Source organism: Homo sapiens, chromosome 2, assembly GCF_000001405.40.
Source record: "Homo sapiens chromosome 2, GRCh38.p14 Primary Assembly".
Lineage (NCBI taxonomy): Eukaryota > Metazoa > Chordata > Mammalia > Primates > Hominidae > Homo > Homo sapiens.
The window spans coordinates 230512045-230532099 of record NC_000002.12 but is presented as its reverse complement, the minus strand read 5'-3'; the positions used below and the strand labels follow the sequence as shown (position 1 = coordinate 230532099).

General features: G+C 38.4%; 1 protein-coding gene, 1 long non-coding RNA gene and 1 pseudogene across 5 annotated transcripts in view; 1 reads left to right on the top strand and 2 right to left on the bottom strand.

Annotated features, from left to right (window-relative positions):
- Nucleotides 1-20055, bottom strand: part of SP100 (SP100 nuclear antigen) — a 129406-nt gene that overhangs the window by 13507 nt on the left and 95844 nt on the right. Inside the window, exon 25 of one of the 2 annotated variants that reach the window (NM_003113.4) lies at nucleotides 15573-17005. The exons of the other annotated variant lie outside the window; for it this stretch is intronic. Within the exon in view, the coding sequence (NP_003104.2) occupies nucleotides 16460-17005 (546 nt within the window). The 3' untranslated portion in view covers nucleotides 15573-16459. Of the gene's footprint in view, nucleotides 1-15572; nucleotides 17006-20055 lie in introns of those variants that run through there. 2 annotated transcript variants of the gene reach the window in all.
- Nucleotides 16014-17176, bottom strand: HMGB1P3 (high mobility group box 1 pseudogene 3; annotated as a pseudogene).
- LOC101928816 (uncharacterized) overlaps nucleotides 18795-20055 on the top strand; it is a 71871-nt gene continuing 70610 nt past the window's right edge. For 2 of the 3 annotated variants that reach the window (XR_427235.4, XR_001739925.2), the window contains exon 1: nucleotides 18795-19022. This is a non-coding gene — a long non-coding RNA (uncharacterized LOC101928816). Of the gene's footprint in view, nucleotides 19023-19262; nucleotides 19303-20055 lie in introns of those variants that run through there. The other variant, XR_001739926.2, reaches the window with a different exon arrangement.

The window sequence follows — 20055 nt, the reverse complement described above, 5'->3', positions numbered from 1 at the left end:
AGTTTAGAGAAATAGAGAAAATAATGAATTGTTGGAAACACATAGGAAACAAAATGACTATTCATAGAACCAAATAAAAGCCTTCCATTAGAAACTAAAAAACATAAATTCATATATGTATATATAAGGAAAATCCAAAGGAGAACAAACAGCAAATACATGAAAATTAGGAGCAAAAACAAATAAATAGGAAACCAACCTCCAATTATTCTTCTACTCAGTTTACCTTGGAGGCTATAGTATTATTCAGAGCCTAAAAACATATGATGCATATTTTGTTCCTGATACACAATTAAATGTCCTTAGGTCCACCACACCCACTATACATTTTGTACAATTTAGAAACTCACTTTAGGTATGTAACTAGGAAGTACTTTAGTGCTAGTACTATCTATGCACAATTGCAGATAGAATGTGAAGCAATGCAAGCATGTATGTGAAATTTGGCTCCACACTACATCTGGCTTCATGCTTAATTATATTAAAAAAAAGAAATGCCAAACTGCCAATGTATTTCTTTTTTTAAATTAATTAATTTATTTTTCTTTTTTCTTTTTTTAAATATACTTTAAATTCTAGGGTACATGTGCACAACGTGCAGGTTTGTTATATAGGTATACATGTGCCATGTTGGTTTTAGCATTTCTCCTAATGCTATCCCTCCCCCAGCCCCTCAACCCCCCAACAGGCCCCGGTGTGTGATGTTCCCCGCCCTGTGTCCATGTGTTCTCATTATTCAACTCCACCTATGAGTGAGAACATGCGGTGTTTGGTTTTCTGTCCTTGTGATAGTTTGCTTAGAATGATGGTTTCCAGCTTCATCCATGTCCCTGCAAAGGACACAAACTCATCCTTTTTTATGGCTGCATAGTATTCCATGGTGTATATGTGCCACATTTTCTTAATCCAGTCTATCATTGATGGACATTTGGGTTGGTTCCAAGTCTTTGCTATTGTGAATAGTGTTGCAGTAAACATACGTGTGCATGTGTCTTTATAGTAGCATGATTTATAATCCTTTGGGTAGATACCCAGTAATGGGATCGCTGGGTCAAATAGTATTTCTAGCTCTAGATCCTTGAGGAATTGCCACACTGTCTTCCACAACGGTTGAACTAATTTACACTCCTGCCAACAGTGTAAAAGCATTCCTATTTTTCCACATCCTTTCCAGCATCTGTTGTTTCCTGACTTTTTAATGATCGCCATTCTACCTGGCGTGAGATGGTATCTCATTGTGGTTTTCATTTGCATTTTTCTGATGACCAGAGATGATGAGCATTTTTTCATGTTTGTTGGCTGCATAAATGTCTTCTTTTGAAAAGTGTCTGTTCATATCCTTTGCCCACTTTTTGATGGGGTTGTTTTTTCTTGTAAAGTTAAGTTCTTAGTAGATTCTTGATATTAGCCCTTTCTCAGATGGGTAGATTGCAAAGATATTCTCCCATTCTGTAGGTTGCCTGTTCACTCTGATGATAGGTTCTTTTGCTGTGCAGAAGCTCTTTATTTAATTAGAACCCATTTGTCTATTTTGGCTTTTGTTGCAATTGCTTTTGGTGTTTTAGTCATGAAGTCTTTGCCCATGCCTATATCCTGAATGGTATTGCCTAGGTTTTCTTCTAGGGTTTTTATGGTTTTAGGTCTAACATTTAAGTCTTTAATCTGTGTTGAGTTAATTTTTGTGTAAGGTGTAAGGAAGGTGTCCAGTTTCAGCTTTCTACATATGGCTAGCCAGTTTTCCCAGCACGATTTATTAAATAGGAAATCCTTTCCCCATTTCTTGTTTTTGTCAGGTTTGTCAAAGATCAGATGGTTGTAGATGTGTGATGTTATTTCTGAGGCCTCTGTTCTGTTCCATTGGTCTATATATCTGTTTTGGTACCAGTACCATGCTGTTTTGGTTACTGTAGTCTTGTATTATAGTTTGAAGTCAGGTAGCATGATACCTCTAGCTTTGTTCTTTTTGCTTAGGATTGTTCTGGCTATGTGGGCTCATTTTTGGTTCCATATGAACTTTAAAGTAGTTTTTTCCAATTCTGTGAAGAAAGTCAGTGGTAGCTTGATGGGGATAGCATTGAATCTATAAATTACCTTGGGCAGTATGGCCATTTTCATGATATTGATTCTTCCTATCCATGAGCATGGAATGTTCTTCCATTTGTTTGGGTCCTCTTTTATTTTGTTGAGCAGTGGTTTGTAGTTCTCCTTGAAGAGGTCCTTCACATCCCTTGCAAGTTGGATTCCTAGGTATTTTATTCTCTTTGTAGTAATTGTGAATGGGAGTTCACTCATGATTTGGCTCTCTGTTTGTCTGTTATTAGTGTATAGGAATGCTTGTGATTTTTGCACATTGATTTTGTATCCTGAGACTTTGCTAAATTTGCTTATCAGCTTAAGGAGATTTTGGGCTGAGACGATGGGATTTTCTAAATATACAATCATGCCATCTGCAAACAGAGACAATTTGACTTCCTGTTTTCCTAAATGAATGCCGTTTATTTCTTTCTCTTGCCTGACTGCCCTAGCCAGAACTTCCAACACTATGTTGAATAAGAGTCGTGAGAGAGGGCATCCTTGTCTTGTGCCGGTTTTCAAAGGGAATGCTTCCAGTTTTTGCCCATTCAGCATGATATTGGCTGTGGGTTTGTCATAAATAGCTCTTATTATTTTGAGATACATTCCATCAATACCTAGTTTATTGAGAGAGTTTTTAGCATGAAAGGCGTTGAATTTTGTCAAAGGCCTTTTCTGCATCTATTGAGATAATCATGTGGTTTTTGTCATTGGTTCTGTTTACGTGATGGGTTACGTTTATTGATTTGCGTATGTTGAACCAGCCTTGAATCCCAGGGATGAAGGTGACTTGATCATGGTGGATAAGCTTTTGGATGTGTTGCTGGATTTGGTTTACCAGTATTTTTTTGAGGAGTTTCGCATTGATGTTCATCAGGGATATTGGCCCAAAATTCTCTTTTTTTGTTGTGTCTCTACCAGCCTTTGGTATCAGGATGATGCTAGCCTCATAAAATAAGTTAGGGAGGATTCCCTCTTTTTCTACTGATTGAAATAGTTTCAGAAGGAATGGGACCAGCTCCTCTTTGTACCTCTGGTAGAATTGGGCTGTGAATCTGTCTGGTCCTGGACTTTTTTGGTTGGTAGGCTGTTAATTATTGCCTCAATTTCAGAACCTGTTATTGGTCTATGCAGAGATTCAACTTTTTCCTGGTTTAGTCTTTGGAGGGTGTATGTGTCCAGAAATTTATCCATTTCTTCTAGATATTCTAGTTTATTTGCATAGAGGCATTTATAGTATTCTCTGATGGTAGTTTGTATTTCTGTGGGATCTGTGGTGATATCCCCTGTATCATTTTTTATTGCATCTATTTGATTCTTCTCCCTTTTCTTCTTTACTAGTCTTGCTAGTGGTCTATCTATTTTGTTGGTCTTTTCAAAAAACAAGCTCCTGGATTCATTGATTTTTTGATGGGTTTTTTGTGTCTCTATCTCCTTCAGTTCTGCTCTGATCTTAGTTGTTTCTTGCTTTCTGTTAGCTTTTGAATTTGTTTTCTCTTGCTTCTCTAGTTCTTTTAATTGTGATGTTAGGGTGTTCATTGCAGATCTTTCCTGCTTTCTCTTGTGGGCATTTAGTGCTATAAATTTCCCTCTACACACTGCCTTAAATGTGTCCCAGAGATTCTGGTACACTGTGTATTTGTTCTCATTGGTTTCAAAGAACATATTTATTTCTGCCTTCATTTCGTTATTTACCCATACTCATTCAAGAGCAGGTTGTTCAGTTTCCATGTAGTTGTGCAGTTTTGAGTAGTTTATTAATCTTGAGTTCTAATTTAATTACACTGTGGTCTGAGAGACAGTTTATTGTGATTTCTATTCTTTTACATTTGCTGAGGAGCGTTTTACTACAAATTACGTGGTCACTTCTAGAATAGGTGTGATGTGGTGGTGAGAAGAATGTATATTCTGTTGATTTGGGGTGTAGAGTTCTGTAGATGTCTATTAGGTCTGCTTGGTCCAGAGCTGAGTTCAAGTCCTGGATATCCTTGTTAACCTTCTGTCTCATTGATATGTCTAATATTGACAGTGGGGTGTTAAAGTCTCCCATTTTTATTGTGTGGGAGTCTCAGTCTCTTTGTAGGTCTGTAAGGACTTGCTTTATGAATCTGGGTGCTCCTGTATTGGGTGCATGTATTTAGGATAGCTAGCTCTTCTTGTTGAACTGATTCCTTTACCATTATATAATGGCCTTCTTTGTCTCTTTTGATCTTTGTTTTGGTTATGGTTAAAGTCTGTTTTATCAGAGACTAGGATTGCAACCCCTGCTTTTTTTTGCTTTCCATTTGCTTCGTAGATCTTCCTCCATCCCTTTATTTTGAGCCTATGTGTGTCTTTGCATGTGAGTTGGGTCTCCTGAATACAGCACACTGATGGATCTTGACTCTATCCAATTTGCCAGTCTATGTCTTTTAATTGGGTCATTTAGCCCTTTCACATTTGAGGTTAATACTGTTATGTTTGAGTTTGATCCTGTCATTATGATGTTAGCTGGTTATTTTGCCTGTTGATTGATGGAGTTTCTTCATAGCATCGATGGTCTTTAACATTTGGAATGTTTTTGCAGTGGCTGGTACTGGTTGTTCCTTTCCATGTTTAATGCTTCCTTCAGGAGCTCTTGTAAGGCTAGCCTGGTGGTGACAAAATCTCTCAGCATTTGCTTGTTTGTAAAGAATTTTATTTCTCCTTCACTTATGAAGTTTAGTTTGGCTGGATATGAGGTTCTGGGTAGAAAATTCTTTTCTTTATGAGTGTTGAATATTGGCTGCCACTGTCTTCTGGCTTGTAGAGTTTCTGCTGAGAGATCTGCTGTTAGTCTGATGGGCTTCCCTTTGTGGGTAACCCGACCTTTCTCTCTGGCTGCCCTTAACATTTTCCTCTTCATTTCAACCTCGGTGAATCTGACATTTACGTGTCTTCTGGTTGCTCTTCTCAAGGAGTATTTTTGTGGTGTGCTCTGTATTTCCTGGATTTGAATGTTGGTCTGTCTTGCTAGGTTAGGGAAGTTCTCCTGGATAATATCCTGAAGAGTGTTTTCTAACTTGGTTCCATTCTCCCCGTCACTTTCAGGTACACTAATCAAACGTAGGTTTGGTCTTTTCACATAGTCCCATATTTCTTGGAGGCTTTGTTCGTTTCTTTTCATTCTTTTTTCTCTAGTCTTGTCTTCTCACTTTATTTCATTAATTTGATCTTCAATCACTGATATCCTTTCTTCCACTTGATTGAATCGGCTATTGAAGCTTGTGCGTGCGTCATGAAGTTCTCGTGCCATGGTTTTCAGCTCCATCAGGTCATTTAAGTTCTTCTCCACACTGTTTATTCTAGTTTATTCTAATTAGCTATTCGTCTAACCTTTTTTCAAAGTTTTTAGCTTCCTTGTGGTGGGTTAGAACATGACCTTTTAGCTCGGAGAAGTTTGCTATTACTGACCTTCTGAAGCCTACTTCTGTGAACTTGTCAAACTCATTCTCCGTCCAGTTTTGTTCCCTTGCTGGTGAGGAGCTGCAATCCTTTGGAGGAGAAGAGGCGCTCTGTTTTTGGAATTTTCAGCTTTTCTGCTGTGGTTTCTCCCCATCTTTGTGGTTTTACCTACCTTTGATCTTTGATGTTGGTGACCTACAGATGGGGTTTTGGTGTGGATGTCCTTTTTGTTGATATTTTTGCTATTCCTTTCTGTTTGTTAGTTTTCCTTCTAACAGTCAGACCCCTCAGCTGCAGGTCTGTTGGAGTTTGCTGGAGGTCCACTCCAGACCCTGTTTGCCTGGGTATCACCACCAGAGGCTGCAAAACAGCAAATATTGCTGCCTGATCCTTCCTCTGGAAGGTTCATCCCGGAGGGGCACCTGCCTGTTTGAGGTGTCCGTGAGCCCCTACTGGCAGGGGTTTCCCAGTCAGGCTACCTGGGGGTCAGGGACCCGCTTGAGGAGGCAGTCTGTCCATTCTCAGGCTTCAAATGCCTTGCTGAGAGAACCACTGCTCTCTTCAGGGCTGTCAGACAGGGATGTTTAAGTCTGCAGAAGCTCTCTGCTGTCTTTTGTTCTACTATGCCCTGCCCCCATAGGTGGAATCTATAGAGGCAGTAGGCCTTGCTGAGCTGTGGTGGGCTCCGCCCAGTTCATGCTTCCCTGCCTTTTTGTTTACAGTGTGAGCTACTCAAGCCTTAGCAATGGTGGGTGCCCCTCCCCCCACCAATCTGCAGCATCACAGGTTGATCTCAGATTGATGTGCTAGCAGTGAGCAAGGCTCTGTGGGTGCGGGACCTGCTGAAGCAGGCATGGGAGGGTATCTCCTGGTCTGTCGGTTGCTAAGACTGCAGGAAAAGTCAGTGTTTGGTCAGGAGTATATTGTTTCTAGTATACTCCCTTGTCTAGGAAAGGGAAATCCCCCCACCCCTTGTGCTTCCTGGGTGAGGTGATGCCCTGCCCTGCTTCAGCTTGCCCTCTGTAGGCTGCAGCCAGAGTCCAACCAGTCCCAATGAGATGAACCAGGTACCTCTGTTGGAAATGCAGGAATCGCCTGTCTTCTTCTTCAGTCTCGCTGGGAGCTGCAGACCGGAGCTCTTCCTGTTTGGCCATCTTGGAGTGCCAATGTATTTCTTCACAAACTTTCTTAGTTTACTAATTCACCTTCATCAAGACTAAGAGCTTTAACTATGAGCAATGTTAATTAGTCAAGTTTCTCCAATTTTCTGTCAGGTTTTAAATAATATTATCTAAACTTTTCAACTTACTGTTTTTTCTGTACGCTCATGAAGATAGACACACAGGGAAACAGGGAAAAAAATTACCTATGGCTTACACAGACCATCTATGACATGGTTGAACTTTCTGTTTTGTCCTAAATTTTCTTTTTCTTTTTTTTAAAAAATAAGTCATTTTACTTTAGGACAAAAATTTACCATACAAAATCCTTTCTCATACAAAATTATTCTCCTTTCTATGTAACCTTCCTTACCAAAATTACATCTTGATATCCATAACTCTCTTTACACCTCTCTCCTTTACTTACTTGTTCCTTTTTACCTTGTTTCATAAATAACCTTTTCAAGCCCATAATTTGAAGTAACCTTCAGATAACCTCTGAATTAGACAAAATTATTCTTTTTCTCAATAAAAACACATCTTCTTGGCACATTTTATATACAGAATTACATATTAACTAGAATTCTTGTCCTTAGTAATGTTAAATTTTAGTGAAAACCTAGGAAGCAAGAAATCCTGAGTTGCCTATGAGATACTAGCATTTTATAGATGAGAAACATTCTGCAATTTTTAGAAACATGTTTCCCCATATCATAACCTTTTCTTAATTGGAAATTACCAGACAACCAATGAGCATCCAAAATGACTTTAAGATTTTAAATTACACAAAAACTTTATCTATAGCACTTATCCATTTATATTTTATTTATTTTTAGTAGTTTATAAGATTCTTTATGCATCATTTCCTTGTTAACCATTTTATAACCTGTGAATATCAAATGTTCACCTAAGTAAGAACTTTAAATTAACTGCATGGGTATTTTCACCAATAACTCAGAAGATTCAACTGTTTTGATTAAATAAACACATTAAATTAGTCTTGCTTATTAAAAGAATGATCATTTTGTTTTGGCTGGGTTTATACGTTTTTTTTCCTTTTCTTTTCTTTTTCTTTTTTTTTTTTTTTGAGATGGAATCTCACTCTTGTTGCCCAGGCTGAAGTGCAATGGTGCGATCTTTGCTAATTACAACTTCTGCCTCCCAGGTTCAACTGATTCTCCTGCCCCAGCCTCCTGAGTTGCTGGGATTACAGGCAACTGCCACCACGCCTGGCTAATTTTCTTTTTTTTTTTTTTTTTTTTTTGTATTTTTAGTATAGACAGGGTTTCACCATGTTGGTCAGGCTGGTCTCGAAATCCTGACCTCAGGTGATCCACCTGCCTCGGCCTCTCAAAGTGCTGGGATTACAGGCGTGAGCAACCACACCCAGCTGGTTTATAGTTTTATAACCTTCTGTGCCAAGCTCTGTCACCTCAAAATATCTAGCAGAGACAAATATAAAATCCAGACAGAAATATATGCTGACAATTCTAAAGACATTTATATTTTTATTTTACCAATAATTTTTTTTTTTGAGATGGAGTCTCACTCTTGTCACTTAGGCTACAGTGCAATGGCATGATCTCAGCTTACTGCAACCTCTACCTCCCAGATTCAAGCGATTCTTCTGCCTTAGCCTCCTGAGTAGCTGGGATTATAGGCACCCGCCACCATGCCTAGCTAATTTTTAAATTTTTAATAGAGACAAGGTTTCTCCATGTTGGCCAGGCTGGTCTCAAACTCCTGACCTCAGGCGATCTGCCTGCCTTGGCCCCGCAAAGTGCTGGGATAACAGGTGTGAGCAACCACATCCAGCCTATTTTACCAATAATTGTAAAGCCAGATTGTTTATTAAAGATGTTCTTAAGTCATATGAACTTGAAAAATACTTTGAACTTAATTAATGAATACTGTTTTGCTTTTATTTATTTTTATTTTTTATAGAGATGGGGTTCCACCATGTTGCCCAGGCTGGTCTCAAACGTCTAAACTCAAGTGATCCACCTGCCTTGGCCTCCCAAAGTGCTGGAATTATAGGCGTGAGTCACCATCCCTGGCCAGCACTTTTTTAAAATAAGCCAATTTGGTAGGCATAACATATAACATAATAAAGGTACATACACATAAACACATCTAAACGTGTATACACACAAACAAAGATCCAATTGCTTTTACTTCAGAATTATAGCCATGAGATAGCAATACAAATTCACTGGTCTACAAACATGTTCACATGGCTACACTTTGCCCGGATATGTTATCTGGTGAAGGCTGTGAACCAAAATTTTGGGTGAAGCAGTTTTCAAGGCAGTTTGATTTTTAAAGGCCAAATCTCCCCAGGCTCCAAAGAACACTGGGGCCAGCATTTTGGGAGGCTGAGGCAGGTGGATCATTTGAGATCGGGAGTTTGAGACCAGCCTGGGCAACATGATGAAACCCTGTCTCTGCTAAAAATACAAAAATTAGCCGGGCATGCTGGTGGGTGCCTGTAATCCTAGCTACTTGGGAGGCTGAGGCAGGAGAATCACTTGAACCTAGGAAATGGAGGTTTCAGTGAGCTGAAATGGCACCACTGCACTCCAACCTGGGCAACAGAGCGAGACTCTGCCTCAAAAAAATAAAGTAAAAAATATTTTTTAAAAAATAGAACACTGGGGCTGGGTGCCAGTGGCTCATGCCTGTAATCCCAGCACTTTGGGAGGCCGAGGCAGGCAGATCATGAGGTCAAGAGATTGAGACCATCCTGGTCAACACTGCAAAACCCTGTCCCTACTAAAAATACAAAAAATTAGCTGGGCGTGGTGGTGTGAACCTGTAGTCCCAGCTACTCGGGAGGCTGAGGCAGGAGAATCGCTTGAACCCAGGAGGCAGAGGTAGCAGTGAGCTGAGATCACACCATTCTACTCCAGCCTGGGTGACAGTGTGACAGTGCAAGACTCTGTCTCAAAAAAAAAAAAAAAAAAAAAAGAACACTGGGGCCAAAGAGCACTAAAGGAGAACATCACATACTAACCAGGCCCAACTCTGTTTAGAACAGCAGCTTAAAAGCCTGGATACATGGAACTCCATCCCACTTTCTCATTTAACAACAAACTCCAGATTCCAAAGAATATTGGGGCTAAACAGTATTATGAAAGAATATCAGTTTATCAAATTCTAATTTCCCATGACTGTATCAACACACACACAATCACCAAAACACAATGATCCATCTGCTGCCACAACAAACAAGCCCCAAGACTGTCCCAACTAAAACAGTCAAGAGTGTTTTCCTTTCTCCATCGGTTGGGCTTTTTCAGCCTGCAAACAGAAATTCCTTTGGAATTTCCCAAATCGATAGGAGCCAATCCCACTGTCTGGTACCTGCAATGAACACTCAGTTGCTGGAACACACACACAATTACAAACAATCCATCAAGAAAGTCCATATCAAAACAGTCAGGGTGTTTCCCTTTCTCAGCCATTTGGGTTTTTTCAACCTGCAAATGGAAATTCCTTTAAAATGTTCCCCAATAGAGAAGAGCAGATCTTGCTGTCTGGGCCCACAAAGGATACTCATCTATCCAGATGCAGATGTGGAATTTCAAAGGCTGTTCTTCCTAGGCAATCAGGAATGTGGTTTGGGCCCGTAGCAGCAGGGCCAGAGAGAATCCACAACTCACCTCCAGTCAAAACTGAGTGGGCAGCTGCTTAGGAGGGCTTCTGAGACTCGTGGCCCATGGCAGCCAAGCCACAAGCAACATGTTTACTGTCAGGAAACCAAAATCTGTTGTTGAAACACCCTGATCTAGGTCCAGCTGCTCACTGCACAGAAAGCCAATCACTGAGACAACAAGTATTGCCAAGGAAGAAGGCTTTAATCAGGTGCTGCAGCCAAGGAGATGGGAGATCAGTCTCAAATCCATCTCCATAACTGACTAAAATTAGGGGTTTATAGGGCAGAAATGTAACTACATGCAGCAAACTAGGAATTAGGGGTAAAGAAGAGGAATATGTCAACAAGAAGCAGATAGTCAGTTAGGCAGGCACCGGGGGTCAGTTACCTGGGTTGCATTGTCCAGATGCTGTGACCTGGTGTGTTTCAGCTCCTTGTTACAATCTTAGAGGCCTGATGGTTGGTTTCCTGAGAAACGGCCTCTGATAAGACAAATGGAGCTTTCTGAGATTTCAAAACTGGGGGGCTCAAGTTTCACATTTGTTCAAAAGAAACTATAAAGATCAGTTCTATGGGACAGTTGGGTAAGTTTCAAGTTTGGCAGACTCCCTTTTCTCTGCATCCACATGACAAGCAGAGAAAGGATGGTGAAAACCTACAGGCCACTTTTGACAGTTTAATTTAAAAGTAAACAGGCTTCCAGATTAACCTACCTTGGGAAGGTCTTGTGATTCATGGTGAAATCCTGTCCCTGAATCTCATGATGAGTTCCTCAAGTTGTTGACATACTGATTAATGCATACCCCACTGACCCTGAAAAGGGTGCTGACTTATTTCTGAATCATAAAGTTTTACTGATTGTTTTACATGAAGACATTTGAGCCTGTATGTTGCAATCTGTATCCAATGATTGTAACCTCTCTATTGTATCCTCCAATAAGAAAGGACAATTCTGGTGTGAAGAGTCCCTCTTCCTTCTCCTGACCCTACCTATAAAATCATTCCAACTTGTAACAGACTCTGGAACACTCTCAACTTTGTTGGTGTGTTTTCTTGGGTTGATCCTCACATTTGGCTTTCAATAAACTGTTATCAAATTATTTATTTCTCAACAGGCTAAATTTTCGTCAACATTCCGGTGTAGTTGGCAGAATTTTGGAGTGACCTCCCTGGACGACATATGCGGCCTCCGACCTTTGTGCAGGTACTGGCAATGAACACATTGTGTTCCTGAACTTGGATGCCCTGGCTGGGGGTTGCAGAGGAGTTCCTCCCAAAATCAATGAACCTCCCATCGTGGTGGAAGTTCTGGTTTTTTGAAGCTGGTTTTCTCCTTGGCTAGACAGGAGTTTTTGTTGAATCCTAGGGCGGTGTAAAATAGGAGCTCTGTGAATTATTTCTCTCAAGGTTTTGGATGGGACAACCTTTCCTTAGCTTTCTCATTTTTGAGTGCATGAGGGAGGGCAGTCTTGCTCTGAAGTTAAGAAACATTCTCTGTCTGTGACCAAATGGTTTTTAGGAAACCCACAATAGCGGAGGTGTCAGGGCATACCCCCAGCAACATGGAGCAGTCTCATAGGAAAATCCCCACACTGTTAACTTTTCGCTCAGCTGGCAAGCTTCATAAAAACTGATTATCTCTTGTCCATGAATACCCTGAAACTTCTTTGGAGGTGACTCTGGAATCAGAGACATGTAAGATAATCTTTTCAGCCTATTGAGTGAAATTTCGGGGAAGAAAAATTCAAAACCACCACACTTAATCCACTACATTACTTGTCTCATTCAAAACAACCAAGATGGGAAACATGTCTTCTAAGACTCAGGGTACACTGCCTCTATCAGCACCAGCTGGTTTGATGTGTAACACTTAGAGTCCTTCTTCTTGCAAGTACTTAGATAAGTGGACCCATGTAACCCGGGATGGTCAAAAGCAGCAGTGGCCAAAATGGGGATCTTTTGAAAATGCCTAAGCTGATGTATTACCATACACAATTGGAAAAAGCTGGTTTTAGAACCAGACAAACTGACTTACTTCTGATAGCAGTGAGATGCTCCTAAAAGAAATTCTGGGGAAAAAAAATGGCCTTCATTGAAGAGATGAGCAAAAGGCCATCCCACACTATTTCTGATTTGAAAAAGACTTCAGAAGCTTTCTCCCTTTCATTCCAATTTCTTCTCCTCCTTCTACCCCTATGCCTTCATATTCTTCCTTAACTGAATTTATTCCTTTCTACTTGTTCTCTTGGCTCCCATCTGTCTCTTAGGTAGAGATTTTTGGAATGTCACAATACACACATTTCCTTCTCTCAAAAGGGGGAAAACGTATTTACGTTTGGAACAGAAGGAGCAAACAGAACAACTAAAGAATGAAAATGAAACAATTAAAATTATCACAATTATCACCAACAATTTTTTCTGACCCAAGACTAACGAATGACACCGATGAGTTATTGCAAGCTTTGCTGGATCACTTATGCTCCCAATCTCCCACTGACATTGGTAAAACATATTCAACCACCCCCATTAAAGTGGAAGTAAACCCAATTAAACTCTTTATCCAATATCAGACAATACCCTTTAAATGCCCTGCTGGACTTCACAGTCCCTTGGAAATGTAAAACTTCATTAGCCATATGGAAGGATTAAATTCTTTCTCTGTGCTTTGAGATATAAATGTTTTACACTCATTAAGGGCTTCAGTCATGTAGGACAGATAACTTTAACTTGTACCATTTTGAAAGGCACAATTTAATTCAATTCTCCTTTTAAAACTAGTGAAATTTACCTGATTCATGACCAAAATTTTAAAATCAAAGCTATAAAACCTCTCTGTAGTAACAGACTGACTTATAAATACATTAATGCTCAGGAATTAGTAGTCCCAAACATCTAAGTTCACATGACTTGAATAAATCTTTTGATAAGTATGACTGATTAAATATTTTTGCTTTAATAAAACAACTATCTTCTAAGTTATCAGCAAAATACTCATATATTTAACTTTAAGATTCTTTCTTAAGTGAACATCTGATATTCACAGGCTATAAAATTGGTTGACAGGAAAATAACTTGAAATGATGACTAGCTTTGTCTAATATATCAATTTTCATAAGTAATCTAGGTAAACTGTTAAAAATAAATGTAAATGGGATAAACATATATAAATAAACTTTTAATGTAATTTATAATCTTAAAGTTTTGCTAAATTAAATTCAAAAATAGATGCTCATTAAACGTCTAGGTCAATTCCAATTAAGATAAAAAATGTTTTTGTTATGGGAAAATGTTTCTAAAAATTATAAAAGAGTTCTCATTTGTAAGATACTGTCATGTGATAGACAATTCAAGATTTCTTATTTCCTAGGTTTTCAATAAAATTTAAAGTTACTGAAAGTTTAAACATTCTAATTAATATATATAATTCTAAATTTAAAATGTGTCAAAAAAGTAAGATGTGTTTTTCATGACAGAAAATTATAAGAAGGCATAAAAATATGTTCTTTACTGAGAAAAAGTAATTGTGTTTAATTCAGGGGTTATTTAAGGTTGTTTTAAAATAAGGAGCAATAAAGAAAGGAACCAGTAAGAAGGAGAGAGAAAAGCGAAGAAAGTTATAAATATTTTTGGTAAGACAGGTTAAAAGAGAATAATTTTGCATGAGAAAAAAGTCTTGTAAGTTTTTTGTTCTAAAGTAAAATGTCTAGTTATTTAAGAAAGTACAGAGAAAAGCAAAAAGTCCAAGCGTTTCGCAAACAGTCTAAGTCATAATAAGGTTTGTGAAAAGAAACCCTATGAAATAAATTTTGTATATGATCAAGTTGGCTATAATTAAAAGGAAATTCTAAGTCTTTCTAAAGATTGAGATTTGATATTAAAAATAAACTAATAAAAAACAAAAAATTTGGTCCCCTATGTTAGAACAACAAAGTTTGCTTAAAATATTGCTTTGCTTTTAATAAAATTAAAAGATACTGATTTTTAATTCTGATATCTCTTTCTTTTTAAAACTTTTTTTTTTTTTGAGATGGAGTCTTGCTCTGTTGCCCAGGCTAGAGTACAGTGGTGCAATCTCGGCTCACTGTAACCTCTGCCTTCTGGGCTCAAGCGATTCTTCTGCCTCAGCCTCCTGAGTATCTGAGACTACAGGCACATGCCACCATGCCTGGTTAATTTTTTGTGTATTTTTAGTAGAGACAGAGTTTCACCATGTTGACCAGGCTGGTCTCAAATTTCTGACTTCGGGTGATCTGCCTGCCTTGGCCTCCCACAGTGCTGGGATTACAGGTGTTAGCTATGGCGCCTGGCCCAAAACTTATTTTTATTGAGATAATTCCTGTATTGTCTTTATTAAGTTTTTGATTACTCAAGAAAACTGAGCTTTAAAAGAGCTAAGATTTTTACATCCATACAACTTTCTGTATTGCTTTTGAAGTCTTTTGATTATAACTCTGGTTAAATGAATAATTATTATTTTACAATGATCTGTGATTCCATTTTGATCAAGTGTTTTATACCTTTCTACATCTTTGGCAGGTTTCCCCAAGATCAACATCCTAAATTGTTTTTTTGGCCTAAAATTTACTTTGCTATTTTCCAGTTGGACCTCTGAGGGACCTGAAAGAATGTATCTCTCCTCTTGCAGAGATATTAAATGATTAGACTGATTTGGTAAATTGTATGGGAGAAACTGTCAAATGATACATAATACTAGATCTTCCTTCAGTTACACTTATGAGTATGTTATCGATAAAATGTTCCCCAAATTATATAAATTTATAAAAATCTGTTATCAGTCATAATTTTGATTAAGTCTTTTCTAAAGTAATATTTGTATAGATATGTTATTAATGTGAATATCCTAAAGAGTATATGACATTTGTAAAAATCTAATAGTTTTAATGGGACACTATCAGTCGTGATTCTGGTTGTTATCTTAAAATGCTGCAGGTAATCAAAATATCTAAATTTCCTTGTCAATTGGGTACTTCTATTAGATTTTAACCATGGCTATTCTAAGTTTTTGACATCCACAGTTACCGTTTTAAAATTTTCTCTACAAGCATTTGAAGTCAACTATAATCCAAAATTGCTTTTTTATGGAAAAGGCTCTGGCAAGTACTCTTGAACATAGGTTTCTGATAACTTTGGAGATCATATAGTTAGACTAGATAAAACTTCCAGAACTCTAATGAAAAACTGATGTCTTCATGAAGATTGCTAACCCAACACCAGCAAAATAAGAATTACATGAGACTAAATTGATGGAGGAATAAAGTGACTTTTATGACTTTTTGTTTGAAACATTGCCGATTCTTTTCATATTTTGTTTTCAAAAGTCAAGAAAACTTCTCTTTCTTTTAAGTTACTTATATCTGACAGCCCTTAGGTAAAGTAGACTTTTGTGAGCAAAACCAAAACAGTTACTTTTCTCTCTCTACATGAATTTGCCATAATTTGGAAACTATTCATAAACATTCTTATGACAATGGTTATTTGCATAAGTTCAATAATAATCTGTTTCTTTTGTAACAGGACAGATTGGAAACACTGATTATTTTACCAAGGCTTTGACTAGAGTGTCATATTTTCAAGTATGACAAGATTGTTTTGAGGGATTGAGATTGGCTTTGTGGAGCTAATAGACATGGAAGAAGACTGACCTGGTACCTTGTCTACACAGTTCCCTCATACGGTTTTTTAAAAATTGTATTTACTTAGAAGCATTCAGAATGTCAACAAAACAGCTGCAACTGTTTTTTTTTTTTGCAATTACAGAGTGGCATTCAGTTAACAGAACAACAAATGTTTTGTATAAGCTACATCAGAGACAACTGAAGGTGAAAAAACTACCATCCTCATATACAACTAATTTGTGCTGTGCACTAACAAGAACCTGCTTTAAATTTCCATGCCAATTTACAACCCCCATACTGTACCAGGCAAAGGTTAGTGGCTAAATACCACCAGGACAGGGCTATCTGAAGACACATTCGGTAGTGGTTAACTATACAAAAAAACACAGTGTACGGTTTAAAAACAAATCTTACACAGTCTTACGTTGAAGTTTTTTTCTTTAAAAGGAGTGAGTTGTGTACAGGCAGCTTAAATGCTTTATAGACAAGAAAAAAACTGCACTAGAAGCAACTTATTTATCATCATCTTCTTCATTTTCCTCCTCTTGTTCATCCTCTTCATCTTCTTCCTCTTCCTTCTTTTTCTTGCTTTTTTCAGCCTTGACAACTCTCTTTTTTGCTGAATTAGGCTTTCCTTTAGCTCGATATGCAGCAATATCCTTTTTGTATTTTTCCTTCAGCTTTGCAGCCTTCTTTTCATAAAACTGCTTGTCAGCTGCAGCGGTGTTATTCCACATCCCTGCCAGTTTCTTCACAACATCATCAATGGACAGGCCAGGATGTTCTCCTTTGATTTTTGGGCGATACTCAGAGCAGAACAGGAAAAAGGCCAAAGGAGGCCTCTTGGGTGCATTGGGATCCTTGAACTTCTTTTTTTTCTCCCCTTTAGGAGGGATATAGGTTTTCATTTCTCTTTCATAATGGGCCTTGTCCGCCTTTGCCATATCTTCAAATTTTCCTTTCTCTTTAGCAAAAATGGTCTTCCATGTCTCTGAGCACTTCTTTAAAAACTCTGAGAACTTGACTGAAGCATCTGGGTTCTTCTTCTTATGCTCCTCCTGACAAGTTTGCACAAAAAATGCATATGATAACATTTCACCTCTCAGCTTCTTAGGATCTGCTTTGTCCATGTTTAGTTATTTTTCCTCAGCAAGGTACAGAGTCGCCCAGGGCCTGTCCAGCTCTCACTTGCGCCAGCACTATCTCTATGGAGCTCAATGTACTGCAATCTCTTGTAGGTTTTTTGACCTCGTGTTAAGTAATGTCCCTTCCCAACAGGCCCAGAAACCTTGAGGTATTTGGGGGACTTCAAGAAAGGAGGAATTTACCCAATTCTTACAAGTAGTGCAGACACAATCTGATGATAAATCCTTGGCTTGGCTTTCTAGCCTGAAGAAGCTTTTGAAAGTCTAATCTAAAATGTCTAACGAAAAAGTTCCAGCAAAGCCAACTTAAAAGGAGTCTATATGGACAATCACTATTCCTGTTGCCTTTTATATAAATAATCAGGTCAAGTACAATAAGACTAAAACTTATATTGCAAATAAAATTGGCCTATGATTTTTCTTTGGCAGAAAAGGGAGATCGAAGAGAGAAAAATTATCTTTCAGAAGAAAATTATAGCATAGTTGTTATTAGATTCTAGCCCAGACCATTATTTTTGAGTTTCAAAAATTATTATTTGCTTGCAATTTGGACTTAATTATTTCCTGGCTATAATAAGTCTCTAAAGAAGAACCTGGATTTAATTTTCTTTCTTAGTTGGCTCCCTAATGGAACAGGTTTTTTTTCCCCCATTCTTGTACACAAATTCTCTTTTTGATTATAATTTTTGTGTGCATTATATTTCTGCTAGTCAATTATTAATGCTGTGAATCACTCATTGTTTTATTTCTTCCAAGAAAAGTAAAATTATGAAAGTCTGAAGACTAGCAACAGCAACTATAAATTGATGACTTGTTCATTTGGTTACTCTTAGGACTAATTTCTTTATTCTATTGTGTTTTCAAGTTGTTTGCTTGTATTCAACAAGCAACAGCAACTATAAATTGATGACTTGTTCATTTGGTTACTCTTAGGACTAATTTCTTTATTCTATTGTGTTTTCAAGTTGTTTGCTTGTATTCAACAAGCAACAGCAACTATAAATTGATGACTTGTTCATTTGGTTACTCTTAGGACTAATTTCTTTTTTCTATTGTGTTTTCAAGTTGTTATGATTATAATATTAGGTTGGTGCAAAAAAGTCATTGCAGTTTTCACCATTACTTCTGATGGCGAAAACCGCAACTACTTTTTTGCCTCAACCTAATAATAAACATAGTTTATTTTCTTGGCTATTAAGTCACTCATGATTTGCATTGTGCTTGCTTTCGATCCATGGCTAAGGCCAAAATACTGATTTCCCAGTGAGATGATTTATCATTCAGGAGAATAGCAGGTAGCTGTGTGTCATGACCTACCTCATCTTGTCAGCAAACTGGCCTGATTGCAATAACAAGGTTTTTTTCCCCCACCGAGGGACATGACCTCCTGGAATAAGCCTTCCCATTGACAAGGAATGAAGAACATCTATCCCCTTAACCTAGCAGATTGATCAGCAATACTTCCATGGGAAGATTTTTTTTTTTTTTTAATCAAAAAGGGAATGTGATAATCTACAGGTCACATTTGGCAGTTTAGTTTAAAAGTAAACAGGCTTTCCAATTAACCCACCTTGGGAAGGTCTTGTGATTCATGGTGAAATCTTGTCCCTGAATCTTATCATGAGTCTCTCAAATTGTTGACACAGTGATTAATGCATAACCCAGTGACCCTGAAAAGGACACTGATTTATTTCTGGATCTTAGAGTTTTACTGATTGTCTTGCATGGATACATTTGAGCCTGCATGTTGCGATCTGTATCCAATGATTGTAACTTCTGTATTGTATCCTTCAATGAGAAAGGACAGCTCTGGTGTGAGGAGTCCCTCTCCCTTCTCCTAAACTCTTCTACAAAACAGGGGTTTCCAACTTCCGGGATAAGGACCTGTACCAACTCATGGCCTGTTAGGAAATGGGCCACACAGCAGAAGGTTAGTGGTGGGCGAGTGAGTGAAACTTCATCTGTATTTACAGCAGCTCCCCATTGCTGGCATTGCTGCCTGAGCTCCACCTCCTGTCAGATCAGCAGCAGCATTAAATTCTCATAGGAGCACAAACCCTGTTGTAAATTCCACATGCGAGGGATCCAGGTTGCGTGCTTCTTTTGAGAATCTAATGCCTCATGATCTGTCTCTGTCTCCCATCACCCCTAGATGGGAACTTTTAGTTGCAGAAAAACAAGCTCAGGGCTCCCACTGATTCTACTTGATGGTGAGTTATATAATTATTTCATTATTTCAGTATCTATTACAATGTAATAATAATAGAAATAAAGTGCAGGATAAATTTAATGTGCTTGAAACATCCCAAAATCATCCTGCCCCCAACCCCATCCCGGTCTGTGGAAAAACTGTCTTCCACAAAATTGGTTCCTGGCACCAAAAAGTTTGGGGACCTCTGCTATAAGAGCACTTCAACTTGTGGCCAGTGCGGTGGCTCATGCCTGTAATCCCAGCACTTTGGGAGGCTGAGGCAGGTGGATCACGAGGTCAGGAGTTCAAGACCAGCCTGATCAGCATGACAAAACCCTGTCTCTACTAAAAATACAAAAATCAGCCAGGCATGGTGGCACACACCTGTAGTCCCAGCTACTTGGGAGGCTGAGGCAGGAGAATTGCCTGAATCCAGCAGGTAGAGGTTGCAGTGAGGCAAGATCGTGCCACTGGACTCCAGCCTGGGCAATGGAGCGAGACTCCGTCTCAAAAAAAAAAAAAAAAAAAAAAAAAAAAAAAGGCATTTCAATTTGTTAAAAACTCCCAATACTCCCAACTTTGTTGGTGTGTTTTATTGAGTCACTCCTCACATTTGGCTTTTAAGAAATCGTTATCAAATTATTTCTTCCTGGCCAGCACTGTGGCTCATGCCTGTAATCCTAGCACTTTGGGAGGCTGAGTTGGGAGGATCACTTCAGCTCAGGAGTTCAAGACAAGCCTGGGCAACATAGTGAGACCCTGGCTCTACAAC